At 36.1% G+C, this 26,191-nt stretch overlaps 1 protein-coding gene and 1 long non-coding RNA gene across 31 annotated transcripts in view; both read right to left on the bottom strand.

The window, feature by feature from the left end:
* EYA4 (EYA transcriptional coactivator and phosphatase 4) overlaps positions 1-26,191 on the bottom strand; it is a 291,536-nt gene that overhangs the window by 206,469 nt on the left and 58,876 nt on the right. The gene's annotated exons all lie outside the window — the stretch shown is intronic.
* On the bottom strand, positions 1,864-25,006 carry LOC124901403 (uncharacterized). Its single transcript, XR_007059773.1, has 2 exons — positions 3,498-25,006; positions 1,864-2,453 (listed from the first exon to the last, which is right to left on the bottom strand). It is a non-coding gene; the product is annotated as an uncharacterized LOC124901403 (long non-coding RNA).

The raw sequence follows: 26,191 nt of genomic DNA, 5'->3' as shown, positions 1-26,191 counted from the left end.
ATGAAAGTGCATGCAAACAGTGAAAATTTAGAACCATAAGGTTTGAAAGGACAGATAATAAAAATGTCATAAAGTCAATCTTGATGACTTGACAGCTAACCCATCCTGATCAGATGGATCATACAGATGTGAATATCAACAATAATAATGCTGATACTAACAAAATGGTTTACACCAATAAGATGATATTTCAGTTCTCTCTCCCTATGTATATATTATTTTTCCCTCCCAATGGATACGTTTACCTTCCACAAGATGATATAGGTCCTTTCTTCTTGGAATAATAATCCTCTTCCTGTACAGCTCCCATTGTTACCTGATTAAACATGCATGCAGCACTGATCACACTCTTCCCATCTGATGTGGATCTGTGGCTGCCACAATGGACACTTCATCTGATGGGCTAGCCTGGCATCCTATAAATGTGCCAGCTGGCTTTAGAAGATTACACCACCTCTATCAAAATAGTTTTTGAGGCTGGGCACAGTGGCTCAAGTAAAAGCGGGCGGATCACAAGGTCAGGAGATTGAGACCATCCTGGCTAACACGGTGAAACCCCGTCTTTACTAAAAATACACAAAATTAGCCAGGCGTGGTGGTGGGCGACTGTAGTCCCAGCTACTCAGGAAGCTGAGACAGGAAAATGGTGTGAACCCAGGAGGTGGAGCTTGCAGTGAACCGAGATTGTGCCACTGCACTCCAGTCTGGGGGACAGGGCGAGACTCTGTCTCAAAAAAAAAAAAAAAAAAAAAAAATAGCTTCTGAAATATACTCCATAAATTTTCAAGAAAAACTAACAAAACTTGAAAGAAAAGACTGGATTTATTAATCTGATTTTTTGAAATACCAATTTCCCAATGAAAAGCTTTCTTTTAATTTATTATTATTTTTAAGAATCCATACTCGATGAAGTTCATGCAACCTTCCACTCAACAGGCATTTACTGAGGGTCCTGAGCTATGCTGAGAACCAGCCTGGATCAGAGAAACAACCTGGTATTGGTCTCCTATCTTTCCACTTTTACAAGGATCCTCTTTCTCAATATTTCAGACACATAATAGAATAACTTTATAGATTTACTTTATAAAAATAGAAAAAATAATTCATAAAACCAAAATAGGAATTGCAGTTATATATTGTACATAATACATAAAAAAACTTTTAAAATAATAAATACTTGAAAATAGAATGTTGCTGAATCAAGTACTATATAACACTTCTCTCTGCCTCCTGGCCAAAAGTAACCCCAGAAAACAAACAACCAACAAAACCAGAAGTTTAAGATCTTCCAAGATTCTAAATTTCTTCCATTTCCGTCAAAATTACAGGAGCTTAAATGGAATTGTAAATAAATATTGTAATTATGGATACTATTCAAAAATATAACCAGATTGCTAGAATACAGCATAATTTTTGGTCATATAAAGAGATGCACTATATAATAATTCATGTGCTTTCCCTCATTTAAGAATTTTAACTATATTTTCTACTATGAAGCTACAAAATGACTGTTTGGACAGCAGTGGAGAATATATATGCATTATATATGAATTGGTGTCCAATTTTCAAGTTGTCTTTGAAAAGCTGAAGGGCTGATTTTCCAAAGAAGAAGAAATCAATAATACTCAAACTTCTTCACATGGAGATGGAAATTCTAAAAATTTAATGGAGAGTGAGTTTTAATCCCAAAAAGTTCATTCTTATTGTGTGAGAAATAAGAGTGACCACCCAGATATCCAGATATTACATCATGCCACTTCTTATGGACCTATATTAAGAACCTTGTGTTTGTACTACTTCTTCCTTGAGGCGTATCTTGTAATCTGAGAGCAGGACTCTTCAGCATTTATAACAATACAGAAATAGCTATTATAGTTTCTTTATTATTTTTGACCACAGTAGTATATCAAACCTGTTACTGGAAAATGAGGTTTTAGAAGCATTCTATCCTGATACATTCCTATTCCTTCTCTCATTCTCTCACACATATGTACACACACCCAAAATCCTTGCTTCCCCTAGAACCTCATTATCAACTATTTTTATTACATATATGCAAAAACTAAACATTTTTGCTGAGCTATTTGGTGATATGAATAATTCAAATTTTAGTAGAAAATGAAACAGCAATATAGCTGGATTTGACAATCGATCTGATTAACCAAAGTTTACGCAATTTTTCAGTCTCAATTCAGATTAATATGTCAAAATACTACATCTTATTAAAAATTTTTGAAGGAAGCAGCAGCAGAAACTTTTCACACTTCTGTTGAAATCCAAACTTAGAAACCTAGGCAACACTCTGCAGTTCTGAGTCTCAGAGCTCTTCTTGGAGCCACTTTAATTCTTAATGTCTTAATTACTTGCTCTTATTAAATAATTGAAACCCTCTAACAAACAAAAGATGAGATGGCTCTTCTTCTATCTGACCAACATGATGGCAAGAGCTTATTCTAAAAAGAGAAAAACAAGAATTATGTTGGCTTGGGGAAATATGCTAACGAATAAAAAAATTTAAAGCCTGTTATTCATCATGAGTTTTTGATCCTCACACACACACACAAACACACACACACACACACACACGGATTTTATACTGATATAGACATAGATATAGAGAATAAAATGAATTTTGTCTTGAGAAGCTGATAATATTTATATTTAGAAACAATCACTAAAATCATGGGCTTTCAAAGATAGGGTAAGTAGAGATCATTTTGTCACATCTCACCAGTGACAAAACATGTAGGCAGGTGTGGTACACATGTAAGTTTTGCAACTCATAGAAAGTCTGAAATGTGTTTGCATAACATGAACCTTTACTTTTACTAGAGGTAATTCAAATTCTATATATTGGTTCATTCTGTATTTGCAAGACATAAACACTATAAATTTCTCATATATGCTTATTTACAAGATTTATTAGGAATTATAGTAGGTTATAGTAGTTAAGACATAGTCTTATGATACAATGTGCCCATCAACTTTACCTCAAAATTAACTCCTACTGCTGACATTCTTCCTCTGGCTGTTTTTTGGAAAATTAGGCCCAGCTACTATGAGATGTAATACTATAAATATTTTAAAGAGGGAATGGTACATATTGCTGAAAAACTTCATGACTAACATCAGTTTCAGATTTACTCATACACACATTTCTTTCTCAGCTCCATACTCCATGTTTTCAAAGACTCTTGGCCTTTATATTTATACAATAATCATGTGTTTCTTATAGAAAAAGCTGTCTTGTAACTCTAGGTAGCATACAGACATCAATAAAAATAACTGTGATATTGAATCATAAATATTCCTTTCTAAAAATTTAAAGAGGATAGTCCTTTTATAGCACAACGACTACACAATTCTACATTCCTATAATAGCTCTGGCTTACACTTATAATCCTATATCACTACTAATAATGTCTTCTGTCACTCTCAAAGGTATCTGGGTGTGAATATTAAATGATATAGTCACTTGATCAATAATCAATGCTTACCCTTTTAAATTTTTTCTCAGCAGTTATTCCCCAAGTCTAGCCTCAACTTCCAGTCAAATTGCTTCCAAACAAGATGACACATTTGATCACTGACATAAGCCCTCTGGCTCAAAATCCATAGCAATGATAAACACAATCTGAAAATATACAAAGTCATAGGGCTGTAACTGATATCTTTTAAATATGGCAAACATCTTTAGGCAGGAAATGGGAAAGTGGTAAGAGAGGAGAGACCATGGGCCCTCGGGCCTCTACGTCCAGAGCAGGCAAGAATCTGGCTCCTGAGACCATGAGCCTAAGGGAGCTCAAACAGTAGAGAGGACACACCTAGGATGACTCCATGAAACTGAACTCGTGTGGTGCTCATTTTCCCATCTCATACTCAATTTCATCTAATGTGAAAAGATGCTGTGGGGGAAAGAAAAGACTTTTGCTGGAATCTTCCAACTCAAATACAAGCCAGCACACCAAAATTCCAAAACACACAGAAATACATTCTAATCCCAAGAAATACAGTGAACAAGATCGACCAATTTAAACATGAATTTTTCTCCACATGAAATTATTTTTATGGAAGTTTGTTTAGGATTTTCAAATAGGTAGTAAGGGGGAAAGTTCCTTGTCTTCCTCCCTCAAAAGTAAAACTTCTGCAAACAACAACTGGCAGAAATGTAAAAAGAACATGAGATAAAAGCATTATAAATTTAAAACATGAGAAAGGAAATTTAAAGCTGCTGAAATGAGCAGACAGCACAGAACAACTGAGAGGCTCCATCATCTATCTAATAAAAATTGCAGAAAAGGGGACTGCACATAAAGACAAGGCAACCCTATTTGGAGATATAAAAGTTGAGAATTTTAATAAAGTTAGAATTCTTGACATCAAGAATTTATTTGTCCTACATAGGATTCAGGACAAATAAAGCTGAATCAATACCTAGATACAACATAATAGACTATAAACAAAGTTAAGTAAGTAGCAAAAGCTACTAGGGAGACAAAACAGATTACTAACAAAGGACCAACCGACAGACTGACAGCAGATTCTTATTAGCAACAACGTGTCATTCATTCAAAAATATTTTTGTTTATTGTGTCCTAGGCGGAAGACAATAGGATAACATCTTTGAAGTGCCGAGAAGAAAACAATTTGTAATCTAGACTGTTATGTCCAGCTAAAGTATTATTCAAAACTAAAATTAAAAGAAAGCCACCCACCCTTAGACCATTGTTGAATCAATTACTTGAGGATACACCTCAGTATGTAGAAAAATGAGTTCAGGATACTAGGAGGCCATAAAAGAGAGTGAAATCATGTCTCCTGCAGCAACACAGATGGAGCTGGAGGTCATTATCCTAAGTGAAATAACCCCGAAAATCAAATACGGCATGTTTTTACTTTTACGTGGGACCTAAACAATGGGTACACATGAACATAAAGATGAAATTAATAGACATGGGAAATCCAAAAAGAGGGGAGGGTTAAAGGAGGGTAAAGATTGAAAAATTGCCTATTAGGTTCAATGTTCACTGTTTGGGTGATGGGTATGCTGGAAGCCCAGACCTCATCATTACACAATATGTCTATATAATAAACCTTCACATGTACCCCCTGAATTTATAATAACAAAAAAAGAAAAATGAATCCATGAGAATGCAACAGGATAAAAGAGAAAAAAAAACAAGTAAAATATAGATTTAATTAACTGTTTACTCTAAAATAAGTAAGTACATTGCATTTAAAAAAATAAAACCAAACTCTAATTAACAATGAGAATTATTCAGTGAGCATTTATAACATGCTAAGGTCCACTCAGGAAGAAGATATAAATACAGATTAAATTTTTTAAATGTATAAAATTTATCCATCTTTAAAAAGTAAAGTGGAAGAGTGATCCCTAAAGAAAGAAAACCATGCTGTATAGCTTTCAAATAAGCAGAGAGAAATAAAGTGAAAAACAGAAATCCCTAACAATCCAATAGAAAGCAAGAAGTTGGGAAAAAAAGGAGCAAAAAAAAAAAAAAGGAATGGTCATCGAAAACTCAATAGAATATGAATACATACAAACACACAAATACAATAAATGTAAATAACAAACTCCCTATTCAAATACAGAAATTATCAGAGCTATTTTTAAAATTATGAAGTAGGCTGGGCATGGTGGCTCACACCTGTAATCCTAACACTTTGGAAGGCTGAGGTGGGTGGATTGCTTGAGCCCAGGAGTTCAAGACCAGCTGGGCTACAAAACTCTGTCTCTACTAAAAATACAAAAAAATTAGCTAGGCATGGTGGCACACACCGATAGTCCCAGCTACTCTGGGGGGCTGAGATGGGAGGATCGCTTGAGCTGGGAAATTGAGGCTGCAGTGAGCTCTGATTGTACCACTGTGCTCCAGCCTGAGTGACAGAGTGAAGCAATATCTCAAAAAAAAAAAAGAAGAAAAGAAAAGAAAAAAATCAGAAGTAAAACATATTCTGCATAGAAGAGACACCCTTAAAACAAAATCACGCAAAACAATTTTTTTAAGCGAGAACATGGGGTTAGAAAGAATATCAAAGTAATACTAGCCAAAAGAAAGCTGATACAGCAATGTTGATATAAAAAAGTTTAATTAAAAATAATCATTAAGACTGGTAAAAAAAAAAAGGGACACTATCCAATAAGCAAAGAGAAGTCCACCAAGATGTAATAATTATGAACTTGTATGCATAAGTGGCATGACCTCAAAATACACAAAGTAAAAACTGACAGAGCTATGAAGTAAGAAAAAAAGGCGCAATCCATAGGGAAGATTTTTACTCATCTAGTTTCCTGGCAATTACAGATACTTATGTACCTCTAAATTCTAACTGCTAATTCTGCATGCAGAGTCACAACTTCCGGCTTATGCCTTGTTCTGAAATTCTCTATCTTTTAAAAGCTATCACCATGTGAATATCCTCAAAGCTTGGAGCAAAGCCCTGGGGTTGAATTCTTCCCTCTTCTCTTATAGCAGTGAAGAGAGGTTTTATGAGGTCTAAAATCTGATAGAAGAGGTGGGAGAGGGAAAGAAGGGATGAAATTTTATTCTGCACAGATGGATCTACACCATACAAATCAGAATGAGGACTTACTAGACAGCACGGAGCTGCCTGCTGGACAGGCTGTTAAGCAGAAATGCTGTAAATGTGGCCTCCTATAACCAGATTCACTGCTTGGACACAACTCCACAGATTCATATGAGCTTTAGAAAAATCGTACTTTATGCTCAGATCATCGCATTAATATAGTGCGTGCGTAAAAACCATGAATAGTACAAAGGAAGTGGAAGAAGAAAGTAGAAAACACAGTTCAGGACTTGCAAGGAAACTCAACATTAGGAACACACTTACATACAAATGAGAGTACCAGGCAAAAATAAATACGAGTGATATGTGTCAGCAACATCTATAGAGGCACAGAACCCACTCAGGTATGCTGGATGTTTAAAAGGGCAGTCAAAGCTGCCGAAGGAACTAAATTAGCTCAGGAGACTCTGGATGATTAAAAAAAAAAAAAAGAATGGCTTAAAATTACTTTTTCAACCAAGAGGGTTCTGGGTAGCAGAATAAAAAGAGCATCTGGAAACAGAATAAACCAACCTCAAGTTTTATCAGATGGGAAGACAGAATAGATACGAAGATGAAGACACAGGCACCAAGCGAACTAGGATCTGAAATTAGGACAAGCAAAGAAAAAGTCTTTGGTTTTTGTTTACCTCCACCGGCAAATCACAGTTTTAACAGTTCATTCACTGCCAGAAAAATGTTTACATCAAATTCTGAACAATCTCCAAGCCTTTTCAGATTTAAAATTCCGATTCTACACTTGTGGTAATTCCTCTCATAATTTTCCCCTAAGTTCTATCATCAGCGAAGTCAATAAAAAAGAAGAGTCACACCCATAGAAGGGTCCAACCCCTACCACAAGGCAGAGACTTAAATTGCTCACAAATTGCCATGCTTCAGCAAAAATAAAAAGTCCCAACTAAATAACTACATGCTAAGAAATAAAGCACTAGGACATCATTTCCATGAATTGTAGGTCAATAAACAATTACAGGTGACTTCTACAAATATGTATTATTTATCTTCAAAACTACATTTAAAAAGCAAGTTTCATTATGAGATAAAGGCTGCACTTGTATAAGAGGGTGGATGGATGGGTGGGTAGATGGATCAACGGAAGGAGGATGGATGGATGGATGAGGGAATGGGTGGATGGGTGGGTGGATGGGGCACCGGGGGATGGAGGGATGGGTGAATCTGTGGATGCCTGGATGCGGGCATGGGAGGATGGGGGAACTGGTGAATCTAGGGATGGATAGATGAACGGGGGGCTGGATGGATGGACAAAAGGGGAGATGATTGAGAGTGAGATTGAGAATGATCATATAGAAATTCAGATACCCAACTATTAGGTGATTATTACCTTGGGAATAGAAAGGACACGATGAAGAGAAGACATAACTTGTTTTTTATTTCATACACTTAATAACAATTTTACTCCAGAACATTGAGATGTATTATTTTATGATTATTTTTACACTTATTAATCTAAGCACATTTTCCAAATAATGATATAACAAGAATAAATATTAACTTAGAATTGTGTTAAAGTTGAGTAGTTCCTATATAAAAGCAAAGAGAGCAGAAATACATTATTATTAATTACATACACAAATAATTCATAATAAAATCATAAGTATGTTGGTTCCAGTGCTTACCCAGGAGAAATGATGACTGGGTTTGTTACTGAAAACTCAATTTGGTCACTGCTTACCTGGCAGCTAAATTAATCTTTGGCTGTTTATTTATATGGGTCATTATGACAATGTTCTCAAATGAACTTGAGATTCTTCAAAGCATCATGAAGATCTGCACACACCTGTCCTGTGGTAATTACAGGTTTGTGCTACGAGCTATTGAAATGAGCTGCCCACAAGTATCTCTTTCTTAATGTCTCAGAGCCTTCTGACTTTTTGATAAGCCAAGAGAACATATGGAGCTGTACAGTTTTGAGCAGCTGTTTGAAGGTGAGAACACCATCTGGTGTAGACTCTTGTCTCTCTAACCTCTATTTCTGTCTCTCTTTGTCATTTCCTTTTTTGATCCAAAATGGACAAAGAATTCACATGAGGCCTCAATGGTCCAAAATGAGTAAAGCTTTGCTTCTATGCAGGCCGAAGGAAGGCTTCTATGCTAAGCTAGGCTTCTATGCAGGCCAAAGGAAGAAACTACTAGGTCCTAGTAAGCCACTAGGACCCAGGGAAGGCTCCAGAGCACCTCTCGGCCAACACAAGGCAGTTAGGAAGTGGTGAGAGCCCTAGCTCCAGCTCACACGTACCTTCAACTAATATGCACAAGGAAAAAGAAGGCCATGCCAGATGCATCAAAATCGTGTTTTCAGAGGAAAATAGAGAGATGGACACTTTATGCATCTGTTGGTGTGGCATGAATGAGAGGCAAAACACAGTATGAATAAATAGCCATGTACAAGTACAGCAGGGCCAAAGAGGGGTAGCGTAGTCAATTAATGGAAAGTAACTAAAGAAGAAAACGACAGTCGTGGAATTGGTAGGTTGAAGTCAATTTCAATTAATTGCTTCAGTATTAATTTTCTAAACTATCAGGTTATCTAAAAAGAACTCCAGTACTCAACAGCTACAAAAAGACAACTTCACTACCCAGAAAAATCTGCTCTAGGATTTATTTATTTTAGCTAATAGCTAAAACCTATTTAAGTAGCTGATTATGTAACTATTATGTAAGTACAACTGTCAGATTTTTACCTTGGGGACTGTAATTATGCACGGTGGGAGGATTGTATTTAAGAATTTAGGGAACAAATAAATGCAGCTTATTTTTTTTTCTATGATCATCAGCACACTTTATAATATCAAAGAAATCTCTAAATAGGCCTTCACTAATATCAACTATTTGCTGAGAAAAACGTAAAGTTTTCAGGCTTTTAAGAGAATTAGGGAGTTTTCAGCTTACTGAAGTGAGAATTAGGGACAGCCTCTTGACCAGCATACGTATCGTATACCCACCTACACAGGGACATCAATGAGAAGGTGGTGCTGAGCCCAGCCAGGGTCTGCGGGATGCCCTACGGGAAAGCAGAAGTGCTTTCTGGAGTACATGCTGCCTAGTGTCACAGCCTGCTCCCATTAGCCAGACCTTGCTGCTGACACTTCAAAAAACACTCTGTTCCTGTTGATTTTACATCACCCCCTTTTCTGAAGTTCCCACACTGTGGCTGCCACTCTATTCCAAAATGAATTTCTATTAGAAGATGCAAAACATCTTTCCAATAATATAAATCTTAGCAGTTGGAAAAATGCTTTTAAAATGAATGTAAAATAAGAATCCATATACCTCATGATCTTACTGTAGAACACATTTCTCACCATCATTCACTTCCACAAGCTTCCTGTTTGTCTCCGTGGTTTACATTTTTACTTCTATTTCAAGGCTCTATGACTCTGCTTCAGTCACCCTGATCATTTCTGTTCCCAACATTGCTTCAGTATCTTCCCACTTTTCTATCAGTGGCGCGTTTCTTGCACTCATTTTCTTTTACCATTTTGGAAGGAGAATTCTCAGCAAATTTTCTGAATTTAAAAATATCTGACAACCCAACCTCACATAACGGTAGATTTTTCCCCTCTTGCTTAATAATGTCCCACAAAATTGTAATTTTAATGTAATTTTCTCATTTAAAAAATAAAGTTTACACATAATTAAAGAAATATTTCACCTTGAGGTTGAAATTGCCATAAAAGGAGAGAAAAATCTTCAACTTTCCCAGAAAATACTGAGTTTTAACACTTGATGAGTTTCCAAAAGCACTGGGAAAATATTCTATAAAAAACAGACTCTGTGGTTGCTGCCCTGAATAATATCTGCAGCCTCCCCTGACTACACAGCTGTGCAGGCCAAGAGTGATTTAGTGGCCTCAAAAATGAAATTCTGAGCCGCTTCAGTAATCACAGATCTTTATTGTTCAGGGGTTCCATCAACCATGTTCTTCTCCAAGAGACTGGCTCCGTTCCATGCGGGTGAATTTCCCCTCAGCTTAGACATGTGGTTTTCTCTGAGGGTAGCTGGGGAGACGCAACAGTTTATATAGAATGTTCTCTTAAAGTTGTATTGAAAAGTCAGTCACCACCCCAAATTAAACATCCATATTAGATGAGGAAGGAAAACAAGGTGGCTCCTGAGTTTGGTTCTTCATGGATTCCAATTTCAGCTAGAAATTTCCATTGGTTTGGAGTTCCTACCACCAGCTACTAAAAGGAGGGTGCTATGCAGTAATTTAAATTACCCTATTAAATATTTTAGGAGCTAAACATGTTTTAACAGTTAAAGATAATAAAGACAGTAAAAATCAAAATCAAAATTAACCTTTTTTAATACTAGCGCTTTATTTTTATGGTTGTAACATTTCTATGTTAACCAAATTTTAGTTGAAAAGTATGATTTGATAAACTGAAATATTTTCATGCAGAAGGGAAGTTACACCAGTGTACCTGAAGGAAAAACATGTTTTATTACCATGTTGGAGAATTAATGCTTTCTATAAAATAGAATAATAAAAATAAATATGCAAGTATAGATGTTTTCACACAAATTACACCATGAATAGTTAACTTTCTGCCATTCACACTACAGGAAAGAAGACATTCATGACTAATCTAAAAACAAAAATATTTAACTGTGAGATGTTTCTCATTATTTTTCCACACATTTTGTCACTAGGTTTAAGAACATATTTAAATGGTCTTTCTAAATCAAATAAATGAAAATTAACAATGTAAACTGAAAATGGTCAAAGTTTTGCAGAAGTTAACAACTTTTGTGTATAACATATACAAGCATACAGTCACACATTGGCACATACGGTGCTACTTATATTTTTCTCATCTATATTTTTTTCCTAGCATTTCATTTAATCTGTATCAGAAGTCATAAGTAATTTGCAACAGATGAATGATTTAACCATAGTTATATTTTCATCACTTTAACCACATATGTACCTCCATTGATAGCTTTACTCAGATACTAACATAAAACATACAAGCTTTCTACAACTTAAAATAAGATTTTTTAAATATAGAAATAGCTTTCAAGATAACAGCTTCATATTAGAGTTCAGCCATTTTTAATTACATAGAAGTTATTTTGAAAAGACAGACCATTTCTAACCAAAGTCAATGCACAGCCTCTCTCAGAAAAAAAATAAGACATCAGAAAGATCCTCATGGAAAGGGAGAAATAATTCATATACATTTGCTAACATGATTTCTCTATAGTCAGCTTAAATACAATAATGAAATGAATGAAACTGACAGAAAACAAAGTCCTACTCTAACAACTGTGTAAGGAAAATAAGCCAGGGAATTACTGCAGGTATTTATTAATGAAAGAATGAAAACAGAGTTATAAAATATATTTTACAGCTCTAAAGTTATCTGAATAGCTGAATCTTGGTTAGCATATTTTAGCAATAAGATAACTGAATCCAGTTTCATTTTCCTATTGGAATAGCAACAACTAACCTCGCACAGATTTTATATTTCATTAAATTATCCTAATTAGTATCTAAATCTATTTTCTCCTAGAAAATATACTGTAGATCAGCTGGAATGGGAGATAAAATTAAAAAGAGAGGAGTCTTCCATCTAAATGATTTTTCCCCAAAATAAAGGCAATAAATGTTAAATATGAATGACAGTAAGAATCACTTCATGTGGCTAGATACTCAATCTCCACCTCTATTCTAACTTTCTCCAGGCAATGTGAAGAATAGACACAGGCAGATAGCTATTCCTCAGTCCTCAGGAAGGAGGCATGCTTGGCTTGGAGCAAACTTTCCTACTCCACAGGAGGAGGAACAATGTCCTTCTATCCAAAATAAAAGGGAGCATCTCCTTCATTGTAAACCAAAAAGTTAACAAAGCAAGCTCTCCCACACCCTGGCACTCCCATACCTTATAAGTCCAATATGTAACTTCTATCTTTAAAAAAGTAATAAAATGTTATCGACATGAGTTTGGGGAGAGGTTTTAAATAAGAGAACCTGCTTACTAAGAAGAAAATGAAAATAAAATATAATCTTAAAAGATCTTAGGAGATGTGGATACACCTACACTTAATCCTAAACCCCTCTCCCCAACAAGGAAAGGCAAAGGAAACATAAAAGGGCATAGTCTTAGGCTCAGTGCTACAGGGAAATGGAAGAAAGTCCTATTCTGAAAGTGAAATATAGCCCAAGATGGAAGGAATGGAAAAAAAAAATGAGAAGGGTGGTAAGAAAAAAACTAAGAAGAGAAGTTAAATTTCTTAGAAGCAGAAAAAGAGGATGGAAGCAAAGAAGCTATTAAAGAGTTAGAGCTCCAGTTAAAACATTTACTTTGTTGTTGAGGGTGGAGTCTTGAGCAAAGCTATATGGTGAGGAAGAATATCAAAATGATAGTCCAGCTTGAATGGCTGCAAACCAATATTGAGGAATACAAGGAAATATCTGAGAAATAGTTAACTACAATCATCTACATGTATACCAATACCAACTCACAGTTTATAACGTATTTTTACAATTCCATTTGACGTTCACCATAATGAGTTAGGCATTTTTAGGTGTGTTTTTCAAATGAGATAGGAATCTGCAATTCAAAAGGTTAAGTGATTTGCCTAAGGTAGATCTCATATTCTCTTGCTTTATCTCTGTGTGTGTGTGTGTGTGTGTGTGTGTGCACGCGCCTCTCTCTCACACACACACAAGTACCACCAAGACTTGAACCTCTCCAAATGTTAATGTTTGCCAAGATCCACCCAAGTGCTTAACCAAAAGCCTACTAATTCCTCCCTTTTCCTCACCCCTCCCCACATTCAGCTTATTAGAAATCCTTAACAGCAGGTAACCGCCAATGCTCCTGCCTTCTAGCCACAGTCTGCTCCTGCCCCTACAGGCTTTGAACATGCAGATTTTTCCTCTAGAAAACCCCCTCCCTGCATATTCTCTCCTCTCCCCACTCACACAAACACCCCAACCTCCTGTACTCCCACTCATCACCTCAGTCATGACTATCTCAGTAAGACTTCACTGTTACCTGCTTTCATAAAATCATGAACCTATTCTTCACAGCATTTATCAGTGTTGTACTTTTAACAGATCTTTCTGCAATTACGTGGATAATATCTATTCTACCAGTAGATGAAGTTCCATGACTAGAGTCCACAGGTGTTCCTGTTTTCCATTTCTTTTTCTTCTCTCATTCTTATTTATTAATTTATTACTATGTCCCAGTACTCAGCACAGTGCCGGTGTTGGACACAAGTGTTTTAATGAACATTCCTGAATGATAATGAATGTCCTCGTGGAGCTTACAATCCAGGAGAAGCAGACCATGCAGGCTTTGCAGGCCACACTAAGGAGTTGGGATTTTTAGAGTCCAACAGGGAGCTAGCTACTGAAGGGCTTTGGAGGTGAGGTAGATGTTATCTAATCTAAAATTTAAGCCGGGTGCAGTGGCTCAGACCTGTAATCTCAGCATTTTGGGAGGCTGAACCAAGAGGAGTGCTTGAGCCCAGGTTTTTGAGACCAGCCTGGGCAACACTGGGAGACTCCCATCTCCACAAAAAATTAGCCAGGCATGCTGGCATACACCCGTAGTCACAGCTACTTGGGAGGCTGAGGTGGGAGGATTGCTTGGGTCTGGGAGGTAGAGGCTGCAGTGAGCCGTGATCGCATCACTGCAATCCAGCCTGGGCAACAGCATGAGACCCTGTCTAAAAATAAATAAATAAACAAATAAAAATTAAATTAAATTTTAAAAATTACTACTTCCATTGTATAAAGAAGAGATGCCACAGGAAAGAGGGGAAGGAAGGGACACTGCCAGAAGCAACTACCATGGTCCAGAGAGGGATTATCACAAGCCGGCAGTAGCAGATGTGAAGGCAGTAGAACAGGAAAGGTGTGAACAGGCTTGGAACAGACTGAGGGATAAAATGGACAAGCCTGGGTAATGGTAATACTAAGAGAATGTATGTGGGGAATAAGCAAGAAGAAAATAGTGAAACCTAGGTTTAGGCTTGAAATACTAGAGAGACAAAAGACAACTTCAAATATAGGTATAGGGGAAAAGTCTGAGCTCTTATGAGAGTTACAGGATCATCAAAAGAAACATTCTAAAAAATGGAAACTAAACAAGAATAATATAAGTCCTTCTAGAAATCTAATACAAAGGAAAGTTCAAAACATAACACACGAAGTTGTTTCCTAGGAAATTAACGGTAGGCATGTTGTTAAATTATCCTAATACTTTAGTATTCAGAAATCCATTTTTGGATTTTTGATTTGGCTAAACACAAGGCATCTAAATCATATAACTCTGCTACAGTCTGCAATGCTACAAATTTCTTTTCAGCGTTTTTCACAATTTAGTTTTCCCCAAGACTCCTCCAAATATCTTTTAGTCACTGAAGTCTTGAAATCAATGGAAATACTGTTAACCAAATCTTAGTGCCATATTCAAGTTCGTAAGTCCTCAAAAAACTATTACCAAATATTTGACGATCATTTCTCATGTCAGTTATATGATACATTTTTCTTTACAATGGCAATTAATAATTCACTCACCAAAGCTAGAAGAAAAATATTAAACTTCAAACTAAATCTGTATCCTAGCATATTATATTAAAATTATATGTCAAATGATTAGCTGATGTGGGGAGGGTAACAGATGACACATGTTGCAATAACATATTGGTGGGAGATAAATGAGTAACTACTCAGAATCCAAAATAATCATATAGATAGTGAAGTAGTTTTCAAGTCAGAATAAGATGACAAATACACAGATGCGAAATAACAAGGCACTAAGATCTCCTCCTGTTCACCAACCAATATTTTGCTAAGAAAAAGGCTTCCTTTCCTTTTGCAAGTAGAAATTATTGACCATCCTATATGGCAGGAATTATCAAAACACAACCCAGTGCTTTCACGTTAAATTGCCAAATAAGTAAAATTGACCTCCTCACTTTCGCTGCTGTGTGATAACTGAGGCCACTGGTGTGAATACCAGGCTCCCTCACAACATCACATAAAACCTCATATTAAGAGAAGATTGTCTGTTTAAGACTTGTTAATTGTCAGCAAATCATAGAGATACCCTTCTTTTTTAAAAATATCCTTCCCAAATATCTTTCTTTTCTACTCTCCTACAAATCCCAGAAACTTTTCCCCACTACCTTCTTCGTCAGGACAGAATACTGTTTCATAATCACAAGAATAAGATGAAGCTCTAGGCCAGACAGACCGTACATTACAATGGGGTTTAATTGTGCAATCTTCTCTCCATAGCTAACCTCACTTGCCTTCCTTGTGCCAGAGAACTTTAAGATCCACAACTTTCAAACCAGAAAAAGAGATCTGGTTTCAAATAAGGAGGCATGTTGGCATGTTAGTACATTATCTTACTGCGGCACATGGTTTTATTAGTCTCCTATTGAGGAAAGAAGCCAGAATGGTAACATTAATAGCAAATTAATGAAAACCACTCCTAAATATTTTGGAATAGTACTGCCTTAATCAGAATAGAGAACAAAGATTTGTTTGAAAATGTCTAGAAGGCTTTAAAACAGAAATTTTTTATGAAAACAAAATATGTTTCCACCACATTTGCTTATAGCATATATAAGAAGCCATAACTGCCTAATAAGTTAAAATGGAATATTTTAAGAGAATCATTACTGTACTTCTGGATCACCATATAACCATTATCAGACACTACTTAAACTCTTTAATATATTGACATTTGTTCCCTGAAAACAAGTGCAGTTCTGCATTAAACCTCAACTTCAATATCTTTAATTTCACCATTTAGGGATTTTTTTCATAACCTATAAAAGAATATTATATTGTTTTAATAATAAAAAATATATTTAAAGTAACTACTAAAGGAAACTGTATCATATTGGACAATAGCATAGCAAAATTATACACAAATCTCTTCAAACACAATATTTCAAGTGCTTTTCTGTGTTTGTTATATTTTTTGCTATATTTTGTTTTAAAAAGTGAATATTCTAGTCCACCTACAGAAAGTTTGGTAGTTATGAAAAGTCATATCCACAGTCACAACCTTGCTTCCTCTCTGATTCAATTTAGATAAAAAAAATTCAAAAAAATACCTCTCTGAAAAATTTTTAAGTTATATATTAAACATATTTAAAATATTTTACATAGTTGTATTTAAGTTTCTATGCATAAAAATACATATAATTGCTGAAAATGAAGGAACATGTTTTAGTTTTAAAAATTATTGAATTTGGATAAAAAAATGTGGTACACATATACCATGAGATACAATGCAGATATAAAAAAGACAAAATCATGTCCTTTGCAGCAACATGGATGCGGCTGGAGGCCATAATCCTAAGCAAATTAACACAGTAACAGAAAACCAAATACCGCATCTCATAAGTAGTAAAACCAAATACTGTCACTTACAAGTGGGAGCTACACACTGGGTACTCATGGACACAAAGATGGTAACAACAGACACTGGGAGCCATTAGAAAGGGGAAGGAGGGAGAGAGAATGATTGAAAAAGTAATTATACAGTACTATGCCTACTACCTGAGTGAGTGGATCAATCAAACCCCAAACCTAAGCATCAAACAATATACCCATGTCACAAACTTACACATGTACCCCAAATCTAAAATAAAAGTTGAAGTTTTTTTTAATTACTGAATTTGGAATTAGAAGTCATGGATTCAGCTCCTTTTTCTATTTATTACATATGTGATTTGGGTGAGTTATTTAACCTCTCTGATCCTAGCTATATCATCTGTAAAAACAGGAATAATGCCTGCATTGCCATGAAAGTTAAATTAGAAGGCTAGAACTCACTAGCTGTATTAGTCCATTTTCATGGACTAATGAAGAAATATGAAGAAACACCTGAGACTGGGGAATCTATAAAGAAAAAGAAGTTTAACTGACTCACAGTTCCACATGGCTGGGGAGGCCTCACAATCATGGTGGAAGGCAAAGGAGGAGCAAAGGCACATCTTACATGGCAGCAGGCAAGAGAACGTGTGCAGGGGAACTGCCCTTTATAAAAACCATCAGATCTCATGAGACTTATCCTCTATCATGAGAACAGCACAGGAAAAACCCACCCCCATGATTCAATCACCTCCTATCAGGTCCCTCCCACAACACACGGGGATTATGGGAGGGAGCTGCAATTCAAGATAAGATTTGGGTCATGACACAATCAAACCATATCACTAGCCATGTAACCTCCAGCAGGTTCTACAGCCTTTCAAATCTTCAATTTCCTCACGGGTAAAATGGGAATTATAAATGTATCTACTTCTTAAGACTGTTCTTATGAATAAGTGAGATAATTTTTAGAAAGTGCTTAGAACCATGCCTGTACATGGTAAGGCCTCAGTAACTATCACTACTTGTACTATTGTCATTATATAGGGATAAGGCAACAAACAGTTTCCTGAAAGAAAAACACTCACATAAACTTTACAGCCAGTCAAATCTGGATTAGAATGCCAGATTAGTATTAAGGCTTGAACTGCCTCCAGCCCATAGCACTTAATGGGTACTTGATTAAATAGCTACCTGTTATCATGGCAATAGGTTCTCAATTAAGGTGAGTCATCTTTAAAAGAGAAATTATTCCTTTCAAACTGTCAAAACCCAGTAAGAATTTTTCCCAACAGATGGGGCATTTCTGCTGAAGCTTTTAAAAGATACAAACTTGAATTTTATCTCTCCAGATTAAAAGGAAATCTAAATGCAATAATGTTTAACTTCACTGATTTAGTTCTTTAGGAGGCCACAAAAAATTTCATGATCTATTAAAAACACTCAAAACCTCAGGGAGCTAAGACGGATGTTGGAATTCTTTCAAACCGTGGAAGAAACGATTCAGGATGCAGAAACGTGCTAGGAGGCTCCTAATGAAACTCGCCTCACATTCATCATGTGCTGGATCCTGGAACAGCTTTTGCTTTGTCCCAGATGGTGGCTTAAATACATTTCAAACTATTGTGGGTTTATATAGTACATGACAGAAGATAATTTAAACACAGTGTCCCAATTGTATATTTGTTTTGGTTATAACACTTACTGTGTGTGCAATAAATGCCCCACTACAAAAATAACAAAAAAATGTTTTCCTTCTACATAAATCATACCCTGCTTTGTTGCAATGACTGGGAAGTATGGATTAAATACATGTGATACTTATTTTTTTTAAAGTTCTTACTGAGGATCTCTGTCAAGTTCAATTCTTCTATGATTTAAATTTATGTGAGTTATAAATAAGACATATTTTATTCCTTATATTTGATTTGTAGAAATAACTATTTAAATATGGCTACAATATCAGGTTCTTAAAAGTGTTAGCTATCATAAATGAACATGAAACAAATGAGAGAATCTAAATTTGCTGATTTTTCAATATAATTAAATATAAAACAACTGAAAGATACAAATCTGATTTTCAAATTAAAGATTCAGTTTTTAATAAATCGTCACATTAAAACATTCAGCCACTCACAAACTTTAAGAGAATAAAGAAAGTATTTGTTTCTTCCCTTGGAGAATACACTTTTCATCTGGAAAAACAGCTGATCAAATTAAGGCTGTGCCAGGTAATGGAAGTGAGAGGCACAGATTACAGTACTGGCTCTACCAGTTACTGGCTACAGATTCTACCTATCAGAACCCCAGTTTTTCACATGCAAAATGAAGAGCTCTGTCTATAAGGTCCCTTCTAATACCACATGCCTATAGTTTTCCCTTGGGGTGATCTACTCAGCAAGAACACGGACTCTGGAGCCAATCTGTTGAATTCTCAAATGAACTCTGCCACTTACCGCGGTAAGTATCTTTGGTCATTTAGCCTCTCTTTTCTCTAGTCTCCTTGTTTGTACTTTGTACTAATCATCATGCAATATGAATGCATTGTCTACATCGGACAGAAAAGGAACCAGAAGCATCACAGACTCTTGCAACACCATTAAAACCGCCAGGAAAAGTGGTTACATTTGGCACAATGTCGTCTGTGATCATATCAAACATACCATTTAGAAGAACAAATACACACACACAATGACATCTATTAAGCACATAGATAATCATTATTACTTAAGAGTTACCAATAATGGCAGAAATATAACAGACATGTCCTTCATATGCTTCTTTCCTTACATATTTTATTCTTTGATAGAATCTACTTGAAATTTTGAATATCAGATGCAATCTAATGGACATAGTTGAAAAAGACAGACCTGGTTTCCAGTTACCAATTCTGTGGTCCTGAATACCTTCAACTTCCCCAGTGGTACCACATGTAGCATAGATCTTGGTGTAAGGAGAGCTACCACCTTGGGTTAGTGAGAAGATTAGGAGAAAACATGCTAAGGAGGCTGTACAATGCTAACTCACCATGAATGCTCTTGGCTAAATGATAGCAATTATTATCTTAGCCAGCAAAGTTCCTATTCTTACAAGTGAAACTCAAAGATTAAAAAAGAATTAAACCCTGTTTGCTGAGCATAGATAGAAGCTTTAACAGTCAAACGCTAGCTGACATTTATTAATTCCTTACCATTTGGCAGGCACACGGTAAATATGAAGTGATTTACAAGTTATTTAATTCCTTACAAGCACCACTTCTCACCACTCCATTCCTAAAAACTGGCCTTGTAACCGGTCTTCCTCGTGCCCTTGCCCTAGCTAGGCTATTCTCAAAACAGCAGCCAAGGTGTCCTTATGAAACATATTATGTTATTACTTGCCCAAAACTCTCCAGTGGCTTTATCTCACTCCAAATCCTAATAATGACCAATAAAGACCTACAAACTCTGGCCCCCACTACTAGCCTGACCCCATCTCTTACTATAACTCCCACTGCCCCAACTTTCATGACTCTTTGCATTTCTCAAACATGTCAGGCATTAAATTTGGGGTCTTTGCATTTGCTCTTCCCTCCAAAACGCTCTTCTCTCAAATACCCTCAATTAATTGGGCCTCCATGTCCTCAGGTCTTCATTCAATTGTCATCTCAAATAATTCTTTCCAGACAATGTTATTTAAAATTGCAGCCTTCCCTCTTCCTCGCTCCTAACCTAGTCCCAGATTCTTTATCCTCCACCCACCATTTAACAGACTGTATATTTCACTGATATTATTTCTTATCTATCTCACCACCACACTCAGAAATATAAGCTCTTTGGAATAAGGATTTATCTCACGTTTAGTGCTGTATTCCCAAGGCCTAGAGTCCTGGAACATGGTATGCATTCATAAATTCACTGTTGAATGAATACACAAACCCTGAAAGATAGATCATTTGTATCCCCATTTTATGTGAGAAAAACAGAGAAGGTGTCTGACATTCAGAAAATGTAGAGGCAAGGGTAAAACTCTACAATGGCCACTTGACCACTGTATGCTCTACTTCCTCTCAAGATAAAGTTCAAGTCTCCTTACCATGATACACATAACCCTCCAGAAGCTGACCCCAGTGTATTTCTCCAGACTTATCCTCCAACAACACAGCTTGAGAATCCTTATCTGTACCTCATTGTCTCACCCACCTCTGTTAAAGCCAGCCCTTCAGTCTAAATTTTCTTCTGCTCTTCTTCCTGTTATTTCCCTAGCTTGCCTATATGCATATTTCAGGATTTGGCTGGGAATGCAAGAGACAGAAAAGACTGTCCATCTTCCTGAAACAGAGTGGGGTGCCCTCCTCTAGACTCCAGAGAATCCGGCACAGCTCCCAGAGTTGCACCTGCCACATTTTATTAAAATAATATGTTAATGTTTGTCTTCCCCACTAGATAATTAAGTAATTGAGTATGTATCCCCAGAATCTAAAATAATACTTAGGACAGGATTGATGCTTAGTTAAGGGTGAGCTAAATGATGGCCACAAAAACCCACTAGGAAGTTTTATGTGTTTAAGGTATATGAAGGAAATTACTGCTAGCAATAATATCATACTCATCACCCTTGTTCCTTCAAGTGGAATATCTATCCATTCATTCCATCATCACATACTGATCTGAACCTTCTGCATGTGAAGCACTGCATTAGACTCCAGGAACGGCTGAAGATAAAGGAGGCAAGTCTTCCCTGTCTGACCCCTGTACCCACCACTCCACCTCCACCTTCACCTCCAGCCAGGAGCTAATAATCTCATATTAAATTTAGTGCCACAGAAATTTCATAGGAGTGATATGAACAAAGTACTAACGGAACCATGGCACATGAGATACCACTTCAGGCTGAGGCAATAAGGAAAGATGGCATGAATCAAGTGAGTTTAAAGTAGGAGAAACTGTTATATTGTCACATTTGTGATTTTTATTACAGAGAACAAATATTATTCCTAAACCAAGTATTAAAGGATAAAGTGAAATATTCTCTTTTCCATCAATTAAATGAACCCCCAAAATTTTGTGTTTCTAAACTAAAATTTTACTGTGTATCAGTATTCAAAATATCTACAACTAACCCCAGAAATAGAGGAAGGCAGAAACGAAGGAAAGAAAGGAGCCCAGTCACAGTCACTATCTTGGAGGCAGTGGAGAGAGAGGCTATAAACTTTGGTCTCTCCAGGTTCATACCACTGGCTGCAAAACACTGGTCTAGCTCCAGCACATGCCTCCAATCAGCCTTCTGATAGACAGAACAACCTCTCTAGTTAAGTGAATATCTGAAATAATTACAAAGAACAAACCACAGTCAAGTCACCATGAAATCCAAATGACAAGAAGACATAAAGGCCAAAACAAATAAATTAATGTATCTAGTCCTACCAAATATAAAATTACTGTATGTCACTAAGGGGAAAAGCATCACCGACAATACACTGAATACCAATATGGTTAAAAGAAGCATCTACTAGAACCAAATACAGTATTGTTCAGTGTAAGCCTGCATCATTATAAAATTAAGAATCAAGAACAAGTAAACAAACAAAACTATAGAGCAAATAACTGCCCATATACCAAATCCATCCTGTCATTTGCGTTTGGAAATAAAGTTTTATTAGAACACAGTAACATTCATTCATTAACATATTGGCTGTGGATGTTTTCATCCTTCAATAGCAGAGTTAAGCAGCTGCAACTGAGACTGCATGGCCCGTGAAGCCTGAAATATTTACTTTCTGTCTTGTTAAAGAAAAAAATCTGCAAACCCCTGGATTAGGCAAATAATATAAAACTTTTATCTGTGGTTGATATTGCTAATATAATATTTCTTGACTACAGCAAACATTTAAAATTCTACGAACTTTTCAAAAAGATTTTCATTTAATAAAAATAAATTTATTATTGTCACATTATAATAACACTATCATCTGTTCATGAAGATTTAAGATCTTAACTTTTAAAACTTATACCAATTTGAGACTTAGTGTAAGCTGATAAATAGTAAGTTGTTGTGTAAGCATGTGTGTGTTTGTGTGTACTGTGTATATATTTTCTTAAAAGTCTCAACTTCATTGCAGAAGCTAAGAGCTAGGCTAAAAACACAAGTATAACGGATTGTTTGCTATAAACAATTTTGTTTCTAGAGTATCAAAGCTTCTGGCTGAATAAGTTCCAAACACATTCAATTGAGAAACGATTATTAATGAATATACTGCCAAAAGTGTTATGAATTTTTGTACAACTTTAGTATTAGATTGAAATCCCAGGCACTTAAACCTTTTCATCTCTTCCTATCCCCTAAGGACTTTGATCTTGGACTCCTGACAGACAGCCTTCAATATGATCTTCCTAACTGGAAACTCTCCACTCTAAAACAGAACTTCTACACCATTGCTAGAGAAATCTTTGGTTTATTTATTTATTTAAAAAAAAAGAGCAAAAAATAAAACAGATAAGGAAATCCCACCCTATTATTGCTTACATTCTTTTAATGGTTCCCCAGTGTTCACACTGCGTAACCCAGAACTCCTTCACTAGGCATCCAAGGCTTTTCAAAATCTGGTTTCTGAGTCATTTGCAAAAACTGCTGCTTTGCAAATTCTGTCCTCACTTCCCCGAATATCTGGAATACCCTTCTCCCTTTCTATACCAGCTAAGCCTAAATATCACTCTCCAAGAAGTCAACCTGATACTTCCTCTCTCTTCGTCCCAGGCAGATGTGCCCACAGCTCCATGACCGTCTAATCAAGTAGACTGCAAGCTCCTTCAGAGCATGGGCTATGTCACATTCATCCTTCTGCTCCTGAAGCCCAGCGCTTCCTCCTTCAAAATGCAAACTGGCAAAAACATGTCACATAAATGAAAGCATCAATGAAAACCATCAGAATAAATCAAGTGTGACACAGTAGATAAGAGCTTGAGTTCTGAAGGTAGGTCCAAATCCCAGTTCCGATACTTACTAGCTCTCATATTGTACATGTTATTAAACAGCACCAAGTTCCAATTTCCCTATAAAATAGAAATAAAAATAGCATCTTCTTTATACAATTGTGTGAATATTAAATTAAGTAACACATGTAGAATACTTAACACATGCTTAATGTGCAGTAATTCCTTGATAAATGCTGGCTATTAATATCATATGTGCAGCTATTTTCATTCACTTTGTATTAGAACATTGTTTTCTTCACCAAATAAAAGGCATCCGGGAATCCACTAAAATCTTGATAATCATAAAAGTCATACTGGTGCATCAAGGGAAAAACCTGGAAATTCAGAATGTACACAAAGGAAAAACTCACCAGCCAAAGATAACAGTGGATAGAATTTTCATCATGTGTTATTAATACAATCATATAATGTTTAAAAGATAAACATCCATTCATCAGGTTTTCCTTAAGGAAATTCTCTGTAAATGTTTTTTTGAATGAATAGTTTACATGTTTAAAATTTCTTATCAAGATGGTTTAATATACTCTTATGATTATAATAATTCACATATTCCAAAAAACCCTCATACAGAACGTAAATACAAACACACATCCTGTTCATCAGCGTGACTCACATGGATATGCCAGTCTCATTACAGTCAAAGTGTGTAAAATATGAAACACATGATACGAAAAGTCAAGGCCTGGCTAGAGTTGGCCTTTAGCAAGATGTTTCTTAGTACTTTGCAAAAACTTTGCTTTTAATTTCATAAGGACTGGGAAAATAACTGGACACATAGAATACAGTAGGGAAGCAGACCAGCTGTGGTAACCATCTAACTATTGCGCTCATTAAAAGTTATAAAAGACACTTCATGAGAAGAGTCTCATAATATTCCTCCATTCTGACACTATCATCAATTAAAGCACTTCTGAAAATAATTACAGCCAGTATAAGAATGCAACATGCCTACAAGAAACAAAGTTATAATACATTTTGCCTGCCCAAAATGGTGAAACCCTGTCTCTACTAAAATACGAAAAATTAGCCAGGCATGGTAGCACACGCCTGTAGTCCCACCAACTCGGGAGGCTGAGGCAGGGGAGTTGCTTGAACCCAGGAGGCAGAGGTTGCAGTGAGCTGAGATTGTGCCACTGCACTCCAGCCTGGTGACAGGGCAAGACTCCATCTCTAATAATAATAATAATAATAACAACAACAATACATTTTGTACAAATATTTGTGATTAATACAGAGACTAAATACTGGCCAGTAAAAGAAACTAACTTCTGAAGGAAGATCAGGTATCTTCAGCCACATAGTTGTGTTAATTTTATGTTACTCTCATTACATTAATATTTAACAGTAGATGATGACAGAATCATGGAATAAACTACAGTGGACCCTTGAACAACATGAGTTTAAATTGTGTGGGTCCACTCACTTGTGGATTTTCTTTCATCTCTGCCATCCCCGAGACAGCAAGACCAACCCCTCCTCTTTCTCCTCCTCCTCAGCCTATTCAACGTGAAGATTATGAAGATGAAGACCTTTACAATAATACATTTTCACTGAATGAACAGTAAATCTACTTGCTCTTCCTTATGATTTTCTTAATATTTTCTTTTCTTTAGCTTACATACAGTACATAATATACGTAACACCAAAAAATGTGTTAACGAACAGTTTATGTTATCAGTAAGATTTCTGGTCAACAGTAGGCTATTAGTAGTTGGGTTGTGGGGTAGTCAAAAGATATATATATATATAGATAGATAGATAGATAGATAGATAGATAGAGATCTTTATATATACATATGTATATGTATATAAGTGTGTGTGTATATATATAAAGTTAGCACCCCAATCCCCATGTTCATCTTAACATGATCATCATATAAACTTCTAATCGCAGTGCTATTGTGAAGGATAATCACATTAGCTTGATTTTAAGTGTTTTTATTTTATTTTATTTTATTTTATTTTATTTTATTTTATTTTATTTTATTTTTTTGAGACAGAGTCTCACTCTGTTGCCCAGGCTGGAGTGCAGTGGCGCGATCTCGGATCACTACAAGCTCCGCCTCCCGGGTTCACGCCATTCTCCTGCCTCAGCCTCCCGAGTAGCTGGGACCACAGGCGCCCGCCACTACACCTGGCTAATTTTTGTGTATTTTTAGTAGAGACGGGGTTTCACCGTGTTAGCTAGGATGGTCTCGATCTCCTGACCTCGTGATCCACCCACCTCGGCCTCCCA

Source organism: Homo sapiens, chromosome 6, assembly GCF_000001405.40.
Source record: "Homo sapiens chromosome 6, GRCh38.p14 Primary Assembly".
Classification (NCBI taxonomy): Eukaryota; Metazoa; Chordata; class Mammalia; order Primates; family Hominidae; genus Homo; species Homo sapiens.
This window is presented reverse-complemented; position numbering and strand designations above follow the sequence as displayed.